Source organism: Homo sapiens, chromosome 12 (genome assembly GCF_000001405.40).
Source record: "Homo sapiens chromosome 12, GRCh38.p14 Primary Assembly".
In the NCBI taxonomy this organism is placed as follows: Eukaryota; Metazoa; Chordata; class Mammalia; order Primates; family Hominidae; genus Homo; species Homo sapiens.
The window spans coordinates 121,794,260-121,814,056 of record NC_000012.12 but is presented as its reverse complement, the minus strand read 5'-3'; the positions used below and the strand labels follow the sequence as shown (position 1 = coordinate 121,814,056).

The 19,797-nt window shown below is 59.5% G+C and overlaps 1 protein-coding gene and 1 long non-coding RNA gene across 11 annotated transcripts in view, besides 22 other annotated features; one reads left to right on the top strand and one right to left on the bottom strand.

Moving 5' to 3' along the window:
• Positions 1-19,797, bottom strand: part of SETD1B (SET domain containing 1B, histone lysine methyltransferase) — a 42,502-nt gene that overhangs the window by 18,600 nt on the left and 4,105 nt on the right. The window contains exons 1-6 of one of the 4 annotated variants that reach the window (XM_024448898.2): positions 10,079-10,966; positions 9,146-9,333; positions 8,841-8,939; positions 7,952-8,222; positions 5,737-5,849; positions 3,222-4,454 (exon numbers count right to left, since the gene is read on the bottom strand). In XM_024448898.2, the coding sequence (XP_024304666.1) occupies positions 3,222-4,454; positions 5,737-5,849; positions 7,952-8,222; positions 8,841-8,939; positions 9,146-9,319 (1,890 nt within the window). In that variant the 5' untranslated portion in view covers positions 9,320-9,333; positions 10,079-10,966. Of the gene's footprint in view, positions 1-3,221; positions 4,455-5,736; positions 5,850-7,951; positions 8,223-8,840; positions 8,940-9,145; positions 9,334-9,667; positions 9,684-9,823; positions 10,049-10,078; positions 10,967-19,797 lie in introns of those variants that run through there. The other 3 variants (NM_001353345.2, XM_047428552.1, XM_047428553.1) reach the window with 3 other exon arrangements.
• Positions 1,476-1,565: a silencer, noted in NCBI's record as "silent region_4999". NCBI's record gives its function as "represses an Ori minimal core promoter by ATAC-STARR-seq in GM12878 lymphoblastoid cells {active_cell/tissue: GM12878}" and the evidence as "EXISTENCE:reporter gene assay evidence [ECO:0000049][PMID:35858748]".
• Positions 1,706-2,025: a silencer, noted in NCBI's record as "silent region_4998". NCBI's record gives its function as "represses an Ori minimal core promoter by ATAC-STARR-seq in GM12878 lymphoblastoid cells {active_cell/tissue: GM12878}" and the evidence as "EXISTENCE:reporter gene assay evidence [ECO:0000049][PMID:35858748]".
• Positions 2,260-2,872: an enhancer, noted in NCBI's record as "H3K4me1 hESC enhancer chr12:122249091-122249703 (GRCh37/hg19 assembly coordinates)". NCBI's record gives its function as "activates a minimal SCP1, AML or CMV promoter by ChIP-STARR-seq in primed H9 embryonic stem cells {active_cell/tissue: H9 hESC(primed)}" and the evidence as "EXISTENCE:reporter gene assay evidence [ECO:0000049][PMID:30033119]".
• Positions 2,917-3,726: an enhancer, noted in NCBI's record as "H3K27ac-H3K4me1 hESC enhancer chr12:122248237-122249046 (GRCh37/hg19 assembly coordinates)". NCBI's record gives its function as "activates a minimal SCP1, AML or CMV promoter by ChIP-STARR-seq in primed H9 embryonic stem cells {active_cell/tissue: H9 hESC(primed)}" and the evidence as "EXISTENCE:reporter gene assay evidence [ECO:0000049][PMID:30033119]".
• Positions 8,590-8,679: a silencer, noted in NCBI's record as "silent region_4997". NCBI's record gives its function as "represses an Ori minimal core promoter by ATAC-STARR-seq in GM12878 lymphoblastoid cells {active_cell/tissue: GM12878}" and the evidence as "EXISTENCE:reporter gene assay evidence [ECO:0000049][PMID:35858748]".
• Positions 9,754-9,813: a silencer, noted in NCBI's record as "silent region_4996". NCBI's record gives its function as "represses an Ori minimal core promoter by ATAC-STARR-seq in GM12878 lymphoblastoid cells {active_cell/tissue: GM12878}" and the evidence as "EXISTENCE:reporter gene assay evidence [ECO:0000049][PMID:35858748]".
• Positions 9,854-9,983: a silencer, noted in NCBI's record as "silent region_4995". NCBI's record gives its function as "represses an Ori minimal core promoter by ATAC-STARR-seq in GM12878 lymphoblastoid cells {active_cell/tissue: GM12878}" and the evidence as "EXISTENCE:reporter gene assay evidence [ECO:0000049][PMID:35858748]".
• Positions 10,254-10,503: a silencer, noted in NCBI's record as "silent region_4994". NCBI's record gives its function as "represses an Ori minimal core promoter by ATAC-STARR-seq in GM12878 lymphoblastoid cells {active_cell/tissue: GM12878}" and the evidence as "EXISTENCE:reporter gene assay evidence [ECO:0000049][PMID:35858748]".
• LINC01089 (long intergenic non-protein coding RNA 1089) lies at positions 11,111-18,790 on the top strand. Of its 7 annotated transcripts, NR_002809.3 has the most exons (7): positions 11,111-11,178; positions 11,273-11,426; positions 12,249-12,350; positions 12,449-12,485; positions 14,101-14,210; positions 17,815-17,866; positions 18,331-18,790. It is a non-coding gene; the product is annotated as a long intergenic non-protein coding RNA 1089 (long non-coding RNA). The 7 variants fall into 7 exon arrangements; NR_152736.1 differs by lacking the exon at positions 12,449-12,485; NR_152737.1 differs by lacking the exons at positions 11,273-11,426; positions 12,449-12,485.
• Positions 12,727-12,786: an enhancer, noted in NCBI's record as "active region_7190". NCBI's record gives its function as "activates an Ori minimal core promoter by ATAC-STARR-seq in GM12878 lymphoblastoid cells {active_cell/tissue: GM12878}" and the evidence as "EXISTENCE:reporter gene assay evidence [ECO:0000049][PMID:35858748]".
• Positions 12,807-12,906: an enhancer, noted in NCBI's record as "active region_7189". NCBI's record gives its function as "activates an Ori minimal core promoter by ATAC-STARR-seq in GM12878 lymphoblastoid cells {active_cell/tissue: GM12878}" and the evidence as "EXISTENCE:reporter gene assay evidence [ECO:0000049][PMID:35858748]".
• Positions 12,967-13,086: an enhancer, noted in NCBI's record as "active region_7188". NCBI's record gives its function as "activates an Ori minimal core promoter by ATAC-STARR-seq in GM12878 lymphoblastoid cells {active_cell/tissue: GM12878}" and the evidence as "EXISTENCE:reporter gene assay evidence [ECO:0000049][PMID:35858748]".
• Positions 13,197-13,266: a silencer, noted in NCBI's record as "silent region_4993". NCBI's record gives its function as "represses an Ori minimal core promoter by ATAC-STARR-seq in GM12878 lymphoblastoid cells {active_cell/tissue: GM12878}" and the evidence as "EXISTENCE:reporter gene assay evidence [ECO:0000049][PMID:35858748]".
• Positions 13,277-13,616: a silencer, noted in NCBI's record as "silent region_4992". NCBI's record gives its function as "represses an Ori minimal core promoter by ATAC-STARR-seq in GM12878 lymphoblastoid cells {active_cell/tissue: GM12878}" and the evidence as "EXISTENCE:reporter gene assay evidence [ECO:0000049][PMID:35858748]".
• Positions 13,687-14,106: a silencer, noted in NCBI's record as "silent region_4991". NCBI's record gives its function as "represses an Ori minimal core promoter by ATAC-STARR-seq in GM12878 lymphoblastoid cells {active_cell/tissue: GM12878}" and the evidence as "EXISTENCE:reporter gene assay evidence [ECO:0000049][PMID:35858748]".
• Positions 13,687-14,516: a biological region, named in NCBI's record as "H3K27ac hESC enhancer GRCh37_chr12:122237447-122237986".
• Positions 13,977-14,516: an enhancer, noted in NCBI's record as "H3K27ac hESC enhancer chr12:122237447-122237986 (GRCh37/hg19 assembly coordinates)". NCBI's record gives its function as "activates a minimal SCP1, AML or CMV promoter by ChIP-STARR-seq in naive H9 embryonic stem cells {active_cell/tissue: H9 hESC(naive)}" and the evidence as "EXISTENCE:reporter gene assay evidence [ECO:0000049][PMID:30033119]".
• Positions 14,137-14,186: a silencer, noted in NCBI's record as "silent region_4990". NCBI's record gives its function as "represses an Ori minimal core promoter by ATAC-STARR-seq in GM12878 lymphoblastoid cells {active_cell/tissue: GM12878}" and the evidence as "EXISTENCE:reporter gene assay evidence [ECO:0000049][PMID:35858748]".
• Positions 14,517-15,056: an enhancer, noted in NCBI's record as "H3K27ac hESC enhancer chr12:122236907-122237446 (GRCh37/hg19 assembly coordinates)". NCBI's record gives its function as "activates a minimal SCP1, AML or CMV promoter by ChIP-STARR-seq in naive H9 embryonic stem cells {active_cell/tissue: H9 hESC(naive)}" and the evidence as "EXISTENCE:reporter gene assay evidence [ECO:0000049][PMID:30033119]".
• Positions 15,057-15,596: an enhancer, noted in NCBI's record as "H3K27ac-H3K4me1 hESC enhancer chr12:122236367-122236906 (GRCh37/hg19 assembly coordinates)". NCBI's record gives its function as "activates a minimal SCP1, AML or CMV promoter by ChIP-STARR-seq in primed H9 embryonic stem cells {active_cell/tissue: H9 hESC(primed)}" and the evidence as "EXISTENCE:reporter gene assay evidence [ECO:0000049][PMID:30033119]".
• Positions 15,597-16,138: an enhancer, noted in NCBI's record as "H3K27ac-H3K4me1 hESC enhancer chr12:122235825-122236366 (GRCh37/hg19 assembly coordinates)". NCBI's record gives its function as "activates a minimal SCP1, AML or CMV promoter by ChIP-STARR-seq in primed H9 embryonic stem cells {active_cell/tissue: H9 hESC(primed)}" and the evidence as "EXISTENCE:reporter gene assay evidence [ECO:0000049][PMID:30033119]".
• Positions 18,375-18,544: an enhancer, noted in NCBI's record as "active region_7187". NCBI's record gives its function as "activates an Ori minimal core promoter by ATAC-STARR-seq in GM12878 lymphoblastoid cells {active_cell/tissue: GM12878}" and the evidence as "EXISTENCE:reporter gene assay evidence [ECO:0000049][PMID:35858748]".
• Positions 18,840-19,380: an enhancer, noted in NCBI's record as "H3K4me1 hESC enhancer chr12:122232583-122233123 (GRCh37/hg19 assembly coordinates)". NCBI's record gives its function as "activates a minimal SCP1, AML or CMV promoter by ChIP-STARR-seq in primed H9 embryonic stem cells {active_cell/tissue: H9 hESC(primed)}" and the evidence as "EXISTENCE:reporter gene assay evidence [ECO:0000049][PMID:30033119]".

Below are 19,797 nucleotides of genomic sequence, written 5' to 3'. Positions count from 1 at the left end.
GGCTCTCGGAGTCCCCTCTGCAAGACTAGCAATCAGTGGCACTCCCAGCTGTGTGACCCAGTGCAAGCCATTCAGCCTCTCCAAGCCTCAGCGTCTTCATTTGCAAAATGGGCATCATAGTCCCTGCCTCATGGAGTTACCACTAGAATTCATTCATTCATTCCAATTCAACAAACATTTGCTCAGTACCTGTGTGCCAGGCACTGGTCTAGGTGCTGGGGACACAAAGTTGAAGAGGCAGGCAAACATCTTACTCTTGTGGAGCGGAGCCAGCAGGAAAAGGCAAAAGGATGATGAGGGTGAATACGGGAAACGTGAGGGAGAGAAAGAAGGCAGGGAGACGGGTGGGGCACAGAGGATGAAACTGTTGCAATTTCAGAGATTCTGTTGCAACTTGTGTGCAGAAATAGTTGCCACTTCCATAGTGTCTCTTATGTGCCAGGGCCTTTCTAAACGCTCCACATTTATTAACTCAGCTAATCCTCAGAACAGCCCTATTTTCAACTCCATTTTTGCCCCACGAGGAAACTGGGGCACAGAGAATTTAAGTAACCTGCCCAAGGCCACACAGCCAAGAAGAGATGGAGCCGGGATTTGAACCAGGAAGTGGTTCTGCAGCCTGTGCTCTCAGTCACCCTGCTGTCCTCACTCTGCGGCAGACGGCCAGGCAGGAAAGGTGACATTGGAGCGGGGGTTTAGCAGCACTAAGGCCCATAAACAGGAAGTGTGTTGTTATTTATTTTTCCTTGATTACTCTTTTCACCTAGTCTCGTGACTGCACAATCAGTGTGGGCCCGCGTGGGGCTAAGCGCTGCAGACGGCTGCCTCATTTTTTATCCGAAAGATAACCTCACAGGGCGGGGGGCTCTGCTCCGACCCATTTGACAGTTAATAAACACACTCAGAGCCTCAGCCGTGGCCCCGCGGCACAGCCAGTCAGAAGAAGGTCTGGAGCCCAGGACCTGCCCAGTGCGGGGCTGCAGCTGGGATCCAGGGCGGTGGTGAGGGGTAAATGTGGGAGGTGTCAAGGATGGGCGTGGGGCTTTAGGGAGCCGAGTGGACAGGTCTGGACTTGGGGTGGGGGGACCTTTGAAGGCTGAGGGGGAGTGGGGGTGGAGGTGGAGTCTGTGCAAGTTGCAAGATCAGAGGTCAGACTACAGGTGAGGAAGGCCTCAGAGGAAAACTGCAGGTAGCGGGGTAGGAGGACGGAGACTACCCAAACTAAGGCAGCGGCAGGAAGCTCTGGACTTTACCAGGTCCCCTCTGTGCACACATACACACACACACACGCACGCACGCACACACTCTCCTTCTCAGGATCCCCATGCACATCAAGAAGAGACAGACGGGCTCGGGTGGATCCTCAGAGAGCACTCCCCAGATCAGTCCTGGACAGAGCCGAGCACAGCGCGCCGCGGCACACAGAGGGTTAACCCGGGCCGCCGCCGCCAGCCAATCACAGGGAGGCAGATCCTGCGCTCCAGCCCCGGCCGGCCCTGCCCCTCCCTCTGCCCAGCAGTCTCGGGGTGAGAAGCGGCAGGAATTTGCTGAGAACTGGGAGTCCAGCAGGCCTGGCGGTGCCGGGAGCATCCTGTGCGGCACCTCACTTAAGCTGAGGTCCTGTGCTGCAGGGACTCTCACAGGCCCATTTGGCAGATGACGAAACTGAGACTCAGAAAGGCAAAAGTGCCTTTTCCAGGGTCACATAACCAGTAAGTGACTTGGCAGGACTCAAGAACTTGAGCCTGAACTTTTAACGACCAGCCACTGTTTAGAAGAAAAGCCCCCCCTGCACCCTCGGCTGGCCCCGCCTGCGCCGCTCCCCCACCTAGGATGGGACGGGGTCCAGCTCCCCGCACTGCGCGCGGCCGCAGAAAGCCCAGGCGCTATTCCCCGGCGCCAGCAGGGGGCGCCCGCGGGCCGGCCCGGAGCTTCCCGGCACTCGGCGACTCCCTGCGCTGGCGGCCGGGCAGTCCCAGACCCTCGCTCCCGGGGCCTCAGCCTGCCTTTCGCTCCAGCCACTGCGGGCCTCTCAGCCCTGGACCGTGGTCAGCATGGTAAACACTCCTCACCCCAGGCAGCCTAGACGGAGCGGAGGAGACGGGTGCCAGGGCCGGCGGCCCCCCTACAGCTGCACACCTGTCAACGCCCCCTGCCAAGGCCCCCTGCCTGGACCCCTTGATGCCAGAAACCACTTCCCCAGAACTGCTTGGAGGCCCCCTGGAGCCCCAGCCACCTGCAGCACCCTCCCAGGCAAGCCAAGTTCCTCTCGTTCCTCCCTGATGCAGCCAGACCCGCCTAATCAAAGGGCCCAAGAAGGGGGCAGTCCTCCTCCCCTCCGCCCACAGGGACGCAGAGCTCTGTCTAAGCCCCTGACTGCCCATGCCCACCGGGACTACGGCTCCAAGGCAGGTGCCTGGACCGAGAAGGAGGAGTGGAGCCAAGGAAGATGACCCAACACCCTCCCAGGGGAACCTGGCACGTGGCACCCTCACCCCCAACCCCTGGGCGGGACTTCCTGAGGCTGGAGGTTTAGGCAACGAGACCCCATGACCTGAGGAGAGGGTGGGGGATGGTCAACTTTGCCTTTTTCTGGCTACATGGCACCCCACCCCCACCCCAAGTTAGCTCTTAACTCCTTCATCCCTGGAGCCAGTGGGAGAAGAAGGGAAACCAGCACCCTCCCTGTCTGCCATGGTTTCCCCCTCTTCAGAGGGCACCAGGCTCTAGGAGACAATGCTCCGGGGCTTCACCCCACTTAGCCCAGCACAGTATTCTGGCCAATCTCTCTCCTCCCCTCTGCCTGAGGGCCAGGACTCTCCCTGATCATTCCCAAGCCACGCAACAGACAAGGGGACCAAGAGCCATCCCCACAGCTCATACTCTCTGAACTCTCAGCAAACGCCTACCAAAGCAGCTCAGGCCAGAATTTATCCCTAGGAAAAGCTGACTTCTTACCTAACAAGGAGAGCATCAGAACTAGGCCATGCTTTCCTTCTCTCCACGGCTGCTAGGGAGCTCATTGCCAAACCAATTGCTCAATCACAGCCCCTGGTGTTTTCTGCATCCCCTTTTTATTCTGTAAGTTCCACCTGTTATATTGGCTTTCCTAGCCCCATTGCTTCCGCATCTTAGCTAGTCATGCTAAATGCTTGAAGGGGGAAAGGGAGATACAAGATAGACAAAACCAGTCCCAGACAGATGGACAGACACGGTGGTACCTCATCCATCTTCTCTGAGGTCGGGGTTCTGTCTCCAACCAGGTCCAAGGCCACCTCAGCTGTCTGGCTCAGAAGCCCAGCAGGGTCCGGGGGGCCTGGCTCAGGTGGAGGCCGAGGCCCAAGGCCCAGGTCGAGCTCCTCGTCCTCGTCGGAGTCTGGGAGGGGTGTTGGGCTGATATCCTCCAGGCCGGTGCTGGAGGGGCGTGACGAGGGGGGCGTGGGGCCCCGGAAGCCTGGCTGGGAGTTGGTGCCAAAGGGGGCCAGTGGGGAGAGCTGGGAGGAGGAGGAGGAGATGGGGCTGCCCTCCATCTGCAGCTCGGTGTCCGAGTCCGGCTCCCTCAGGAAGAGCAGCTTGGTGCGCTGCTCCTTCAGCAGCATCTCGATGCGCGAGTCCAGGCTGTCGTGGGGTTTCTCTGGCCCTGCAGGGGACGACTCCAGCGTGGGCGTGCCAGGGCTGTCACAGGGCTCAGGACTCCAGCCGAAGGTGGGCCGGCCGCCCAGCTCCATGCTGTTGGTGTCGGGGGGCGGCGGGCCGGGTGGCGTGCCTGGCTTCTCCTTGGCCAGAGGCTCAGCAGGTGGCAGGGGTGGGGGCGCCGGTGCCCTCCGGAACTCCCCACTGTCGCGGGCCCCAAAAGCGGCTGTGGCGGTGGGCTCTTCCGGGGGTGGAGGGAAGTGGGCCACTGGGGTCTGATACGGAGAGAAAGCAGACTTGAATCCAGGAGCAGGGGTTGCTTGGGCGGGTGGTGGAGTGTGGGCAAATGTGGCTGAATCCTGTGGTTGAGCCTTGAACGGGGGACCGCTGCTGCCCCCAGTGCCGCCGACTGCTCCGAACGGGAGGTCCGAGGAACCCCGGAAAGCGGCTGTGGCCCCGGCCACCGCAGTGACCGCGGGAGAATTGTGTACATAATGATGTTCGTGGCGGCGGTTGTAGGCGTCCGTGAACTTGCTCTCGTGGCGCCGGGCCTTGAAGGTCACTGCAGGGTCCTGGCTGAAGAGGTATGAGGGTGTGGGCTGGCGGCTGGAGTAGCTGGAGTCCTGTGAGAAAGGGGTGCCCAGGCGCGGTGTGAGCGGGGTGCCCTGTCCATAGGAGTTGGGTGTGTCCAGGCGGCAGCTGGAATAAGCTGTGTCCTGGGAGAAGGGTGTCCCACCGCTATTGGGGGTGACAGAGGAGGAGCCGGAGCCACAGCCTGCAGACAGGCCTCCATCCTTGAGGCGCTTCAGGGCATCTGACAGCTAAGGAGAGACAGAGATGTCAGACCACTGGGGGAAAACATGCAATGGAACAGGGCTATTTTCCCTTCTCACTCTGGCTGCTGGGAAGCTCAGAGCCAAACTGCTCTAGAACTGCAGCATAAGGAATGGAAGTGGGGGAGATTGAGGAGGAGTGTCAGGATGGTACTAACTTTTTCTCTAATCTTAGGGGTAGCCAAATATGTTCAGGGAACCTTGAGGGTCATTCCTAATTCCAGAGGAGGCAGAGAAAAAAGAAGACTGTAACATCTTGGTTTAGGCTGGGATTTTCTTTCTGCCTCAGGCTGTCAGAAATCAAAGACCTTCCAGGCAGGATTATGACCAAGAACTACAATCTTGTGCACGAGAGGATGGCCAAGGGCTTTGTCCTCCTAGTCACCCAGTGCTTTAGGATTTAAAGTGATAAACAGAGGCCAGGCGTGGTGGCTCATGACTGTAACCCCAGCACTTTGGGAAGCCGAGGCAGGTGGATCACTTGAGGTCAGGAGTTCAAGACCAGCCTGGACAACATGGTGAAACCCCACCTCTACTAACCAAAAATATAAAAATTAGCCAGGTGTGGTGGCGTGTGCCTGTAATCCCAGCTACTCAGGAGGCTGAGGCAAGAGAATCACTTGAGCCCAGGAGGTGGAGCTTGCAGTGAGCTGAGATCGCACCACTGCACTCCAGCCTGGGGACAGACTGAGACTCTGTCTCAAAAAAATAAATAAAACAAAAAAAAAGTGATGAACAGGCCAGTGGCAGCTAGTCAGCCTGATGCCAGGGAGGAGCTGGCATGAGACTCGCCCCACGCGAGAGTTGTCCCTGTGTCCTGGAAGGCAGTGGTTTGGAAGGAGTCAGCCTTGCTCTGGAAGGCAGGGCATGAACTCTGGTTTCTGGGTTTAGGGGTAGTGGCATGCCCAGGACACCAGACACTAAGGACCCCGGAAACAGCAATGTTTGGCATCAACGTGGAAAAGCGGGCCAGGGCAGGCTCTGGGTCTGTGGGAATCACAGCCTGTGCTGGGGAGGGGAGAAGCCACAGGAAACAGAACCAATCCCATGGAGCCCTACTGCAGGAGCACTTGGGAAAATGGGGCTCTAGGCCCTGCTCCCAATTGTGGGGGGCGTGGCCAGGCTTCACACCCTCCTAGGCCTTGGTCTCCAAAGCTGGAGTGAGGTGGGGGTAGGCTGGGGGTCCCATAAGAGAGTTGGTGAGGCTTTCCAGAGGTGGGGGGCACATCAAAGAGCTGGCGATGGGGCAGACTGACGGCCATAAACCCACCTGCAGGGTCTCATTCACGATTGGAGAGACAGCGTCCAGCTCGCCCACTGGGAGGGTCTGGGGGGTGTATCGGCCAGTGACCAACAGTTCATAGAACCGCATTCGGGTTTCCCCTGTAGATGGGCAGGAAAGGGGGAACTCAGTGAGGTTCCAGGATGGGGCAGCCCCCACAAGGATTCCAACCTGTGTGGCACCCTGGTGGGTCCCTTGTGCCCGAGACCCCAGTCCTAGGGAGGCTGTGTGGCCCTGAGTTCCCACCCCTCTGCACCTCGCTCAGGGTCCCCACCTCTTCAACAAAGCTGCTGAGCTGCACCATTTTTCTGATCCTGAGATCCAGAAGCTCATGTCTCCTGGGGCTGAGACTCCCCCAAACCCAAACCCAGAGGTGCCACCCGCGACGCCCAGCCCCCCCCCACCCCTGCATTACCTGGGCCATGGCACCCACAGAGCCAGGTCTTCCCCTTTCTGCTCAATACCCAGGGGCTTGCAGTAAGAGGAAGGGAAGCCCGTGACACAGAAGCCAGAGTTTGTTAAATATCTGGGGCCAGGTGAGCAGCAGAGTTTGCAACACGCTCTAGTAGCACATTACTGTGAACTCCACAGGCCCTGACCAGGCTGAGGGCCCCAGGGTGGCCTGGGGACTACCTTGGGCTTGAACCCTCCACCCCTCAGCAGAAGGAGGCTTTTATAGACCAGGGCCCAGGGGTTATCGATATTTATAGAGCCTCAGAGGCAGCTGCTTACATATGCAAAAAAGACACGTTCCTGGAGCTACACTTTACTGGTCTCTTTCTTGAAATACAAACTTAGTTGGCAGTCTCTGAGGGCTTTTGTGTTTTTTTTCTTTTCTTTTCTTTTCTTTTTTTTTTTTTTTTTACAGAATTGAAATTTTGTTGAGACCTGGCTGCTCCTTAAAATGTGGGCACGTGATAGGAAAGGGGTTACCATGTTCAATTCAATTATCAGGGAGAAATCGTGCTGCAGCCACCCAAGGTCCTCACTGCCCCCCCAACCCCCAGAGACTGAGAAGCTAGGGAAAGGGGTGGGAGGGACTGTGGACTGGACAGAAAAAGAGGGCTGTGCCCTGAGAGGAGGAACAGAACCGGGCACAGGCTCGGCAAGTGTGCGTGGAATAACTGCCACCACCCCCCGGCACCGGCTTAGAGCTCGGTCAATACATTTTAATCATTAAACGCAAAAAAAGAAAAGTTCTGATTTTCCTGCCTTGGGTTTGGTGTGTCCCAGTTGTCCCTGAACGCCATGCTCACAAAATTCCTGGAAGCTGCACTTTTGCCCTCCCAGGCAGGGTTTCCCAGGGGACCCCGGTGGGCTAGGGACCGAATGACATCTCCCCACAAGCTGGCTGGCCCTCAAAGCACTCGGCACCTTCTTTTATAGGTGGGAGCTTCCCTAAAGAGGCCTCAGGCACACTTTGGGGAATGCCCTCGAGTCCTCCAAGCCCCTTGGTCCTGCAGGGGCCTCCGAAGACCCACAGGGTGGGAGGTATGGCCTCCCCAGCCAGCTCCAGAGAGCACCTAGCTGATTCCAGAGCAGGGGAGGTGCTGCGGTCTCTTTAAGAGAGAGGAGGGAAGACACAGTGTCAACCCTTGAGCACCCAGAGCCGCCTGCCTGGCTCTTCCCTCTTCCCGGCTCTGCTCTTCCCCGGCGGCTCTGTCGAGAACCTTATCAATGAAACAACACTCCTGGCCCCAGATTGGCTGCCACTTCCAGAGGGGAAGGGGCAGCAAGGAGGTGGGGGGACACCCTGGATCCTTAGAGGACTCTCTTTTCAGTTTTCAGACCTTCTCTTGATGTATTTCAAGGCATCCTAGTGGCACTTCCTCAGTCCCCCACAAGTAAACAAACTCTGTCTCCTCCCCTAACACAGGCAACACTGGGGACTGTCTAAACCCAAGCCACCAGGGCTCAGAGAGGGGGCCCGCGGGGGTGTCAGCGGTGGGGAAGCCTCCGGGTGGTCCCTAGGGGTGCGGTGGCCAAGGACCGGCACATTTGGTAAATTACAGACTGTCTCCTAGCAACAGACAACACATTTAGCTCCACGCGACTCTACCCTCAGGAGGGGGCTAAGAAATAAGGTTGTGGGGGGGGATCCCAAGGAAGAGTGAGGGGGGGTCCTCCCCACGCTGCAGGAAGGGTGGGGAGGGAAAGGGTCGGGCTGACAGGTCTCCCCACGCTCCTCCCCTGCCAGGCTCACCTTTGGTGTCCAGCTCCACGTGGATAATGTTGCCCATGACGGAAGTGCTGTGCAAGTGCTGAACGGCATCCTTGGCTCCCCGGACCGTGGCAAAGACCACCTTGGCGATGCCCAGGTGCTTCTTGGTCTTGGGGTTGTACAAAATCTCCACCTCCTCCACCTCCCCATACTTCTTGCACATGTCCCTCAGGAAGTTTTCACGGATGTTATCATTCAGCTTGGCAAATGTCACCTGCTTCGGAGGCACCGGGCCCACGTAGAACTCATCGATCTGGCAGGGGCCGAGGGGGAAGGGAGTTTGAAGAACGTTTAAACCTAAGGGAAAACACAACATCCCCCCCGCCCCGCCCGCAACTCGCCCACCCGTTGAAAACAATAAAGGGTAAAAAAACTAAAAATTAAAAAAAAAAAAAAAATTTTTTTTGGAAAAAAAAAATGCACGCGGGCGGGCCCGGGAAGCGGAGGATTAAATCGTTTGGAACGTGGAAGTCCTCTGGGTTCGGAAGGAAAGGGGAAAAAGAAACAGTTTCTCTTTCCCCACCCCCCTTTCTGGCCTTCTCTTCCTGCTGCCGGGTCAGGGGCGACCCCTCAGGCTTAAGAAGTTGTCCTGTAGTGGGCTAGCGAGAGGGGAGAGTCTCGGAGCCGAGCCCCCCGCGGGGCGTGCAGGACACTGTATCTGCGCCGTGATTACAGTTTCACCCAGTGTTATTTTGTTTTCAGTAGCTGAGAGGGGACACCCTCTCGCCAGCGCTCTACCCCTCCCCGCCAAAACTTCCCTGGCCCCGGACGGCGGGAACTGGGAATCCGGCTGGGCTCGGTCAGGACTGGCGTTATTTTCGAACTCGGGGAGGTGGGGGAGGGACGGCGGGGCAGTGGGGAGGGGTCCTACCTTGAATTTGGGCACCGACAGCTCCAGCTCCTTGTTTTTGGTCCAGATCCCGACGACCCGGGGATCTTCGACAATTTCCACCGGGCGGTTGCTGGACATCTGTGGGGAGAAATTGGGGGGCCGGGATGAGAGAACTGGTCCCCCTCCCCATGGGCAGACCCCTTTCTCGAGGCACTTGTCAAACTCCAGGGCTGGGGCCCCGTCTGACAGTTGGCCGGGGGATCGGGCGGGGGGTCCCTGGCCGCTAGGCGCGTCTCCCCGGACACGACGCGGGGCACGGCTGGGGGGGCGCGCCGGCTACTCACCGCCAGGCTGAAATGCTGCCCATCGTAGCGGTACAGTTTATGATGCCCCTTTTTCAGAGCCGGGTCAATCATCAACTTGTAACTTCTCCAATGGTGGTTCCTCCTCTCGCCCGAAGGGCCGGGCTGCGGCGGGGGCTGCTGGTGGTGGTGGTGGGGGGGGTGACTGTTCTCCATGCCGTTAACCCAACCTGAAAACCAGCAAGTTGTTGTCGTCTCCGCCGCGGCGGCGGCGGCGGCCGCTTCTACACACACGCGAAAGAATCCAATCGGCAGGCCCCCACCCCCTCCCACCTTGCCAGCGCGCCCCGAAAGGAGCTGTCTCGCTGGCTCCCCCCAAAACAAGAATGGAGCGAGAGAATAACCCTTCCGGGAGAATTACGCGCCCGCCCGCTCGGCCACCGTCTCGGGGCGGCAGCGAGGGGCTCCCGGGGGTCCCCTGGGCGGGCTGGCGGGGCCCGGGGCGCCCGGAGGACGCGGACTCCGGCCCATGGTGCCCGCCCGGCCGCCCGGCGTGGCGCTCACCCGCTAGCTCGGCCCGGCTCTGGCGCGAGGCTGGCGGCAGGGCCTGGCGGCGCCGCCGCCCGCCCGCCCGCTCGCCCGCTCGGGCCAGGGCCGGGGCCGGGGGCTTGGGCCGCCCGGCTGCCGGCCGCGGCCTCTCCCTCCCCGAGCCGCGCTTACATCCCCGCCGGGCGCCGGCCTCCCTGCGCCGCCAGCCAGTACATGGTGTCCCCCGAGGGAGCCGAGGCCGGGGCGGCCGGACCGGGGGCCAGGAAGGGGGGGCGCCGCCGCCGCGGCTGCCGGGCCCGGAGCTGCTGCCGCTGCCGCCGCCGCTGCTGCTGCTGCTGCCCGGGAGGCGGCTGGCGGCGGAGGCTCGGCTCCCAGTAGCCGCACATCCCACAATACACCGCTAAGGAGCCCGACCCGAGCGCTCACCCTCCTCCTCTTCCTCCTCCTCCTCCTCTTCCTCCTCCCCTCTCCTTCCTCGCCGCTTCCCCAGGCACTCTCCCGGCGGCGGCAGCTGCGCCGCCAAAGCCCCGGGCCCCAGCGGCCCCCCACCCCTCACTCGCGCGCTCCCACACTGCCTCCCCCTCCCCGGGGGAAGGCCTTTTAATTTATTTATTTTTCTGGGACTGGGGTGGGGGTCTTGGCTGGCGGGGGAGGGGGTCTCCCCGGGCTCTACCTCCCGCGGCCGGGACTACCCTCAGAGCCGCGACCGCCGCGGCGTGCGTCCCGGGCCTGCAAAACTGTTTCCAAACTGCCCGGGCCGGAGGCGGGCGCGCGGGGCCCGGGGAGATGGCTGGGGTCTGGGGGGCCGAGGGTGTGTGTGGACGCTGGGAGCCGCGGGGGGAGGCCGGCGTCGACTCAGAGGAGTTGCAATCGAGGTATCTGCGCTCCGGCTTCCTCCTGCGGCCCGCGACCCCCTCCCCGGAGCTGAGCTGGGGAAGGGAGACCAGGGTTCACCACGTTAGCATTCGCATTCCTGGGAGGATGCAGCCCTCGCCTGGACCTGGGCGATAGACGCCTTCTTCTGTTTTTATTTTTGGAGGGGAGCGCCCTGTAATTGTCCTGAACACATGCTTCCCCCCCTTCCTCCAGCCACCCGCGGAGGAGAGAGTCCCCCTTTTTTGCATTTATCTTTTCCTTCCCCTTTCTTTATTAAAGGTCCGGGAGTGGCGGCGGCCAATCAGCGCGCGGCTTCCATTTTGTGAGTTCAACTCCGAGGCTCCCGGGCTTCGCGAGGACGCGTTTGCAGCCCCCTCTGCCGCTCCTCTCTGGCGGCCGAGGCGCAGGAGCCGCCTCGCCGGGGCTCGGAGCTGGTGTAGCTCATATTGGGGCTCTTTTCGGGGTTTGTAATTTGGCCGTGGGTAGGTAATTGGCTGGAGCAGGGCGGCAGGGCGCGGCAGCCAATCAGCGCGCGGCTTCTATAGGGCTTGAGTTATTAGACGCTGATCTCAAAACATCCTTCATCAGACACGAAGGAGAGGCCAACAGATGAGGGAAGCCATTTTTCTGCAATGGAATTAAATGGCCAAGTGGGTTTTTCCTTTGTTGCAAATGGGGAATGTTTTTCCTTTGACTCTACCATCCAGTTCAGGACGTCTCAGTGTGTTTAACATTTGTCAACAGGCCCAAGGACTCACAGTTGGAAGACTGGAGAAGACTTTTTAAAAAGATCTGGATTTTTCCTTATGACTTGGAATCCATCTTTGTCTTGTATAACTAGGTCATAGCACACCATTCATGTCAGCAGTTAACAGTTTTGAATTCCAAAAAAACCTAAGTAAATGACATATTTTTTTTCCTCTTTTTGTTCTATGGGTGGGTGGGGGGAGCTTGGAGCTGTCTTAATCTGTATTCTCTTGACTGAACAATAAATTTTTAAATATATCTAGTTTCCTCTATTAAACACTTAAACCTGGCCATCTTATTAACTCCTTCTCTCTTTTTAACAAGGTAATGTTTTAAATGTATATAGCTTTAGGACTAGCGAAATGGCAGCAACAAAAAATTGTGAGCAGTTGTTACTCTTTTAGTTTTTAAAAAACCTTTTACATTGTAAGTACCCAATCCATTCTGTCCTGACGCAGTACAGTTTTGATGTTAATGTTGCTGAGATGTCCTTAATTTTCCGAACCTTCATCTGCATGTATGTCTTTGTCTCTCTTGTCTAATATAAGCCAGTTAAGATGCTTGAGACGATCTTGCTTTATAAAGCTAAGGTTCTAGCTTTATGCTTTTGAAAATGTTTACAGCACTAAATGCTAGTCAGCTTTCTTCCCCGTAGCTTGTACACTTTCTTTGAAAATCGATCTATTTGAAGAAAAACAGCCCTGTTTTTCTCGTCTTTGGTGTTGGGGGTTGGGGGGAGCTGGTGGGTGAGGGAAAGGAAGACCTTTTCTTTGTGTAGAGAGACTAAAGCCGTCACAGGAAACTAGATTAAAACTGGAAAACAAGTCCTAGCTGGTTCCAGCAAACACCAACGTTAAGTGGGGGGTATTTTCTATGGTGGTTGGGCGGCTGGTGCGTCTTGTGCCTTTTGTTTGATTTGACTGTATTTTCGCCTTTTGTCTCTTAATGACGATCACACCATTGCTATATCCAGAGCAGTAAACAGTCCTCAGCGAAGCCGCCTTTTTGCCTACCCAACCCTGGAAAGTTTGCAGAAGTGGAAGGAGCAGAACGTGAGGGTGTAACTTACAAAAAGGTAATAAGAACAAAGACACCACCATAACCCCCAAATTTCCCAACTAAATCAAAAAATATATATGTTTTTACAATAACGTCTCCAAAACCACCGCCCAGCTTGATCTTCTAGACTCCATGGCACCGGGCTGAGCGGGTAAGTAAGAAAGATAAAAAGTGCCTTTTGCCCCTTCGAGGAAACCCTTTTGCAGGCCAAGCAAGGGCTGCAAGTGTTTGGGAGCTGAGAGGAGAAGGAGGATTCTGGAGCATTGTATTTGGCAGCCGGAGCGGGCAGTGGGCGGGGGGTTGGGACACGAAGGGCTCTTCGGACCCCTGTGCCTCTTCTGCCCCAAGGGCGAGAAGACGGGCTTCGCAGCGACCCTCGGGGGTCCATGGAGCCGCCTGCCTTCGCCCCCTCGCTCTTCCCAGGTCTGAACCTGGATGGGGAGAAGAAATTGAAGTGCTTTGGAGACGGGGGGGCTTAAAACACTAGGGAGCCTCATCGCCCAGCCTTGGGCCCACTTTCCTTTCGATCGTGAGGATTCCGCACCCCGAAGCCGGCTTCTCGGGGCTCCGGGGCGCGCCTGCGCTGGCAACGCGAAGGAGGACAAAAGGCCGGCGTCCATGTTGGCACCATGACGCAGCATCTCCGCCCGCAGCCCGGAGCTGCTGTCCTCCCGGCCGCGCTCGCTCCTCCTCCCAAACACCAGTTTTCTTTACAGGCTTCGAGCCCGTCGCGGCTGGGCCGGGCTGGTCTGGCAGGCGGGCCCAGCCGGGCAGGGCTGCTTTGCTAATGGCGGCGGCTCTCTTTCCTTCCTTCCTCCTTTCCTCCGTCCCCCCGGTCGTGGGGAGCCCGGAGCAGGAGGCGGGCCCGCGGCCAGGTCGGGCCCCGAGAGCCCGCGGGGCGCAGCGCTGGCGACCGGGTGTCGGGGGCCGTTTCGGGGGCCGTGGGCCTCGGGGGCGTCGCGCGCCGCGCCTCCCGCGCTCGCCTCAGCCGGGCGCGGCGGCCTGATGGGCGCCATTTCGCGCGCTGCCCGTGGCTGGGGCGGTGGCGGCCGCCGCGCGCCGGGCGGGAGGAGCGGCAGGGGTAGGGGGCTGGGCGACCCGGCGGCCCACGCGGGCACCAGGAGGCCTCGCCCCGGACCGCTTCCCTCTTTCGTCTTTGTCCTGCGCGGGCGCCCGCAGCCGAGGGCCACGGGGTCGGCGGGGCTTCGAGGCCGCCCCGGGTCCCACCGGCTCCTCCGGAAGCCGCGGACCGGCCTGGCCCTGACCCCAGGCCGCCCCCCGCTGCCCACCCAGCTCTGGGCGCCCAGGTCCGACCTCCCAGTCGCCCTCTGAGAGCCGAGTCAGCGCGGGGCGGGGGGTCGCCCCCTTTGTCCTCACTCAGGGCGGGAGGCCCTCGGGGTGGCCGCAGACGCCCCGTTGGGCAGCCCTCCAGCCCAGCTCTCCAGGCAGGAGGTGGGGGAAGCCTGGGAAAGCGGAGGGGGGGCCCCGGGATCCCCCGAGGCGCGGGGCTCCCGGCGAAGCCTCAGATCTCCGGCCCTTCCCGGGGAGGGTGCGGGCGGGGCGGGCCTTTGGAAATGCAGATGAGCCGCCGCCCGGGCCGGGGTTGAACCTTCTGACTCAGCCACCCCCGGCCGCCCGGGCCGCTGGGGGAGGGGCGGCGTCTGGGGTGCTCCCTTTCAGCCCCGGAGCCCGTCTGCTGTGTATTCGGCCGGTCACATCTCTCTCCCCCAACGCCCTGATCCGCCCTCCACCTTCCTCTCCTCCAGGTTCTGGGCCGGAGAAGGGGCGACGTTCGGGCACCCCCCGAATGGACAATCTTTCCTTCTGTCAACGGCAGGGGCAGGCCTAGTTTGACTCTGACAGTCCTCCCACTAAGGTAGGTGTGAGTACTTGCCCAGACCGTGAGGGAGATTTGGGGGGCTCTGGCCTGCAGCCCAGGGAGGGCCGAACCCCAAACACGCCGGGCTGGTTCTGCGGCCCCGCCCCACCCCACCCCCCCCCCCCCAGCTGCGAGCGCGTAGGGCCGCCTGCTGGGCCGCCGGGGCCATCCATCCCCGTCTGTCAGCTTCTGTTGTCAGGCATTTGGGGCGTGTAAGTCTCTGCCGAATATAGCAGCATACGAGAGGATCCACTTGCAAGTATTTCCCAGTTGTGTGTTCTTCGGCGGGGGGAGGGCCCTGGGTGCCGCCTACTTCTGAAAGACACAGGTCACTGTCAGAAAGCCCAACTGTGCTGTGGCCTTCCCTCCAGCCGCCCCCGTGGGGCATGTGGGGTGACAGTGTGAGCCGTCCTCTGATGTCTGGCTGCTAGAGAGGCAAAGAACAGAGACCCGAGGTTCCGGCCACCTTTCTCTATGAAAGGGCCTTCCTTGACGCTTCTCCACCTTCCTGGGATTGTTTTCTTCTCCAGTCCCCGAATGGGCAGGCCTGTATATAAGCCTTGTTTCTAGAACCAGACAAAGCTGGATTTGAAACCTGGCGAGCCATTGAACAGCTATGGCCTTGCGTAAGCGGTATAGCCTCCAAGCCTATTTCTCCATCTCCGAAAACAGGGCTAGATCAGTGGTTCTTAGTCTGGAACCGGCATCAGAATCACACCGGAAGGGGGGCTCACTGAAAATGGACCACCGGGCCTGGTGCCCAAGTGTCTGATTCAGTGGGTTGGTCCTTAGGACTGGCATTTCTAACAAGTTCCCAGGTGAGGTGAGGCTGATGCTGTGGTCTGGGAACACATTTTGAGACTCCAGCCCCTAGCCTGGTAACACCTGGGGTTTTGACGCAGAAGTGCCACGTTCCACGCTTGGCACATAGTAATTGATTTCATTCTAACGCTAGCCGACTTCATGTATTGAATAGTTTCCCATCTCAGTGTCTAAGAAGCTCCACAGCTGGAGATGGCGGCCCTTGGTCTCGGAGCCCCCCTCCTTGTGATTTCTGCTTTGTGATTGCTTTGATGAACCATTTGGGTCCAGGTGCTCCTGATCACACCACCTCCCCTATTTGGGACTTGTGCCCCACTCCCGCTGTGAGGGCTACACCGAGCTCTGGGGGCCTGTTCGGATTAACAAGGAGATCTTGCTAAAGGTATCTTGGTGCTAAGTTAAGGGAGATAGTTCGCCATGGGCTAGGATCTCTCAGTGCTGGTGACCTTGGGTGAGTGTCTCCCTGTAAAGTGATAAGGATGCCTGCTGGAAAGGGTGGTGGGAGGATTAAGTGCGTTAAAGAGGCCCTCCTCCCAAGCTTTTAGTTGGCCTCCATTGTGATCGTGGTTATTGCTGGGAGTGGCTGCAGGGGGTGGGGGCTGGGCTGCCTCAGAGCTTCCCCCCGCACCAGCCCACCTGCTGAAGCACGTGTCCCTGCCTCAGGGCAAAGGGGAATCTGGCGCTCCCTGGGAAGGCGGCCAACGCGGTTCTCCTCTGGAGTGGTTGAGTCCAGCTGCAGGCCTTTCCCCATCCACAGGGGCTGTTCCATGATGGGGTCAAGATTTGGGTCACCCACCCATGGTCCGGGGAGAAGTGACTCCCCAAGGTCACAAGGCCACCACCAATAGAGCCAGGATGGGGTTCCAGGTGGCTTGACTTGGCAGCCAGCGCCTGTGCCCATGGCACCCCCTCACCCCAGCTGTCTGGGTTATTTTGGGCTTCCTCCCGTGCCAGCTGTCTGCTGGCATCCCTGCCCGGGACTGTCTGGTTGGAAGTAACTGGCGTGGTGCTGTTGGCTCCTCCTGTGAGGGCCAGGGCTGGGTCTTCAATCCCCGATGAGCCGTGCTGGGTCCAGCTCCTTTGCTGGGAGGGAAGAGTGTTCCTGCCCAGACTCCCCGCTGCCCAAGTACAGCAAGAGGGCGAAAGCACCTGATAAAAATTGAGGTTCACATTGTTAATATCCCAAAAGCCTCCTCCTTCTATACTCCCTGAAACCTGTTTTAAATTTGGCTCTGCCATTGAACCCCGTTGCTCTCACGTTACCCTCTGCCGCCCGAGGGTGTGGCGCCTCCCTTTAGAGTCTTCGTTGCTCTCCGGGTGGGGTCTTTACTCCCCACCTGCTTTGGATAATTAAGTAATTGATGTACGTCTCCCTCCCAGCTGCACCCTGGAGGGCTCCAGCCAGTTTCTCCCCTCCCTGGATCCAATCAGTGAGCTGTTGGGTGCTCAGCTGTGGTCTGGATGTGGTTCTCGGCACGGTGTCGGGACCCACCTGGCTGGACTGTACCCCTCTCTCTCTGCTTTGGTCCCTCTTCTTTCTTTGTCCCCCCACCATCACCTCTTGGGGCAGGGAGGGTGAGGCAGTTTGTCCTCCTGCTGCTGTTCCTGCTGGTCCCTCGAGGGCGCCCCGCCCACCGGTCACCCAGCGAACGCGGGGCGGGGCCGCTGCTGGCGCTGGGCCCCAGGGCTTGCAGAGAGAGGGCCACGCCAGCGGAAGGGCCGGCCAGGAGGTGGCAGGACTTGCCTTACTACTGAGTCGCCGGCATCCCCGCCTCTTCCGGCCTCTCCGCCCGGAGCCCTAGCGTGGAACATGACCTTTCGGACCCTCTGGGTGGAGACACAGCCTCTGCCTGGGCTGTGCAGTGAGGTGGCACCACCATCTCAGGTCGTCTGGCCCAGTGCATCTGTAGCTGGCATGTGACTTCCAGCAAGCTCCTGCCCCTGAGCGCTGGGAGGAGCAGGTCCAGCAATAATTTTTTTTTTTTTTTTTTTGAGACAGAGTTTCGCTCTTGTTGCCCAGGCAATGGTGTGATCTGGGCTCACCGCAACCTCCGCCTCCAGGGTTCAAGCGATTCTCCTGCCTCAGCCTCCGAGTAGCTGGGATTACAGGCATGTGCCACCACGCCCGGATAATTTTGTATTTTTAGTAGAGACAGGGTTTCTCCATGTTGGTCAGGCTGGTCTCAAACTGACCTCAGGTGATCCGCCCACCTCGGCCTCCCAAAGTGCTGGGATTACAGGCATGAGCCACCGCGCCTGGCCGGACAATAATGTTTTGAGCTGTTGCTGAGTCTGGCTTTTGTGACGGGAACTTTTAGCACTCAAGGAGTGGCCTTGTCTCTGGCCTGTCCCCGAGTGCTCATGGGCAGCCAAGGCCTGGGGACTGCTCAGGCAGGGTAGATGTATTTGCCAGGCCAGCTCCCGTCCCTGGGACCTCAGGGAGTAGCTTCATCCCTGAAGGCTGAGTGTCTTCTGCCTCATGTGGGTGGCCCCTCTGCAGGGTTCTCAGGCATCCAGGGAAGTGGGTGCCACAGCGTTGCCTCCAGCCTCACTGGGGCTGGCTGGACTTTGCTCTGACAACACAGCAGTGGCTGGGCCCCTGCAACTCTCCAGGGCTCAGTTTCCCTGTTGGCCGCACTATGGCATAGGCCCCTGTGTGGACACCGATGAGCTGACCCCACAAATGCCACCCGGCCGCTCCCCCAGGCTTCAGTGGCCTAACAGCTGTTGTGTCAGGAACCAGCTTAAAGAATCTTTCTTGCTTTCTCAAACTCTCCAGGAATTCCTGGTGACTGGAAGGGGGAGTGACTCAGGCCCTCAACCTCTAGCAGGTAAGGGAGCTACCTCCTGGGTGGGCATGCCCAGTTCCTCAGTGGGCCCAGCGCGGCCCAGCCTCCGAGGAAGCTCTGAGCAGCTGGCTTGGCTCCGAGGTATTTTTAGCTACAGATCCAGCCCCCCTCCATCACCACAACAGTCGAGTCCAAATCAAACGCGCTCCAGGCAGGTGGGGCTGGGGTTCTGCCAGCCTCCTGGCCAGCAGGGGTGGGTGGGCAGACTGGGGCCAGTATCAGCTGTTCTGCCTGGACCCAGGCCGGGCTGGGAAGGCACACTTGTGCTTATTTCCCGCCTCCACTTCTGTGCAAGCTTGTGCTGTCATAAGCAGAGATCACAGCCCCATTTCTTGGATGGAGAAAGTGGACACTGAGGTCTGAGGCTTTTGAGGACAGTCAGGAGCCCTCCTATGGGCTCCAGTGATGCACTCACCAGCTTCTGGTCCTCTTCTTCCACCTCTTAGAGTGCCTTGGCTCCCTCCTGTCGTCCTGGGGAACCTCGGCCCCAGCCCTGCCTCCCCAGCCAGTCACAGCTCCTCCCTGGTCACCCTGAGGGAGCTCAGGGCCCGGCTGGTAGCTGGGTTGCTCTGCTTCTGTCCCCCACTCCTGTGGAGCCTGGCAGGCAACTCCATGATCTGACCCCGGTTACCTTGACAGCCCTGCCTGGCCTCCCCTCTCATGGCCCAGCCACCCCAGAACCTGAAGAGGTTTTCTAGCTGCCGTGCATTTGCCAGGCTGGGTTACCCACCCTACTTTCCCTGCCTGCCCTCCAGTGCTGCCAGGCCTAGTGTGCCAGCCAGCGCTCAGCCTTCAGTAAAGGGTTCCCCTGCTTCCAACCTCCATTGCACTGCTTCCCCTAAGACTGTGACCTCCTGGAAGGCTGGAGCACAACTGCCTCTCAATAAACGTGTTGCAAAAAAGGAATGGATGAGTTGCTGTGCATTTGTCTAGGGGGTGCTTGACCCAGGAGATTACCCTTTGCCCAGTGCCTGAAGAGGGCGTCCACTGAGAACCTGGGGTGCCTCCCCGGCCTCCCCTTCCCAGCTCTGCTGTGGTCTTGGGATTCTGTGGGCGGTCGCTGCTGCCCTCTGGTGGTCAGACCGTGCCTTGCTTGCACTGTGAGAACCTTGACCATGGAACTGCCAGGTTGGCGGTTTTCCTCCACGAAGTGAGGTTTACATGACCCTTGCCGAGACCTTGAAAACTGGGAGTCTTCGGGGTGGGGTCGCCAGCAAAAAGATCCTGAGTCCTGCCAGCCCCTATCTGAGGAAACTACGAAGGCCACTTGCCCCCAACCATGCTGCTGTTGGGGGTTTTGTTAGAAATGGGCTCTTCCTACCCCAGCTGGTAGGATCCCACTCTCGGCCATGCTCTCGTGCCTGTCTGCCGTGGACCGGCTCCAGGGGGGGGTCCCTCTGCCACCCTGTCGACTCATCTGGGTGGTGCAGAGGGCAGTCAGCCCGCCCAGGGTGAGGAGTAAGAGGAGGGGTGGGGGTTACGGGTAATTCAGCCAGCAGCCCTGATAGCACTGCCTACAGTAAGTGCTCAACAAATAAGCTGTTTTGATCAGGGGATGGGAGAGTTGGGGGGATTCCTGGGATGAAGGACATGTGGCTGCTGGCAAGGAAACGCATTTTCTTACATTTCTTGGTGGGTGTGGGGTTATCAGTCTCCAAAGCTCCAGGAGAGGGACCAAGTTGACTTCAACTAGAGCTACTCCAACCTGCCCCTCCCTGACGACGTCTTGCGTGGTTCACGCCTCTGGCTCCTGCCGGAAGGAGGCGGCCGCCCCTAGTGGTTTCGGGCCAACCTGCGCCCGGAGCGGCCGGCGCCGAGGCGATTGCCCGGCAGAGGGCGTCAGACGTCCACCCTGCAGCCCAGGGTCGGGGTGCGGGTAAGCGGAGCCCAGTCCCTCACCCCGAACCCGCGTG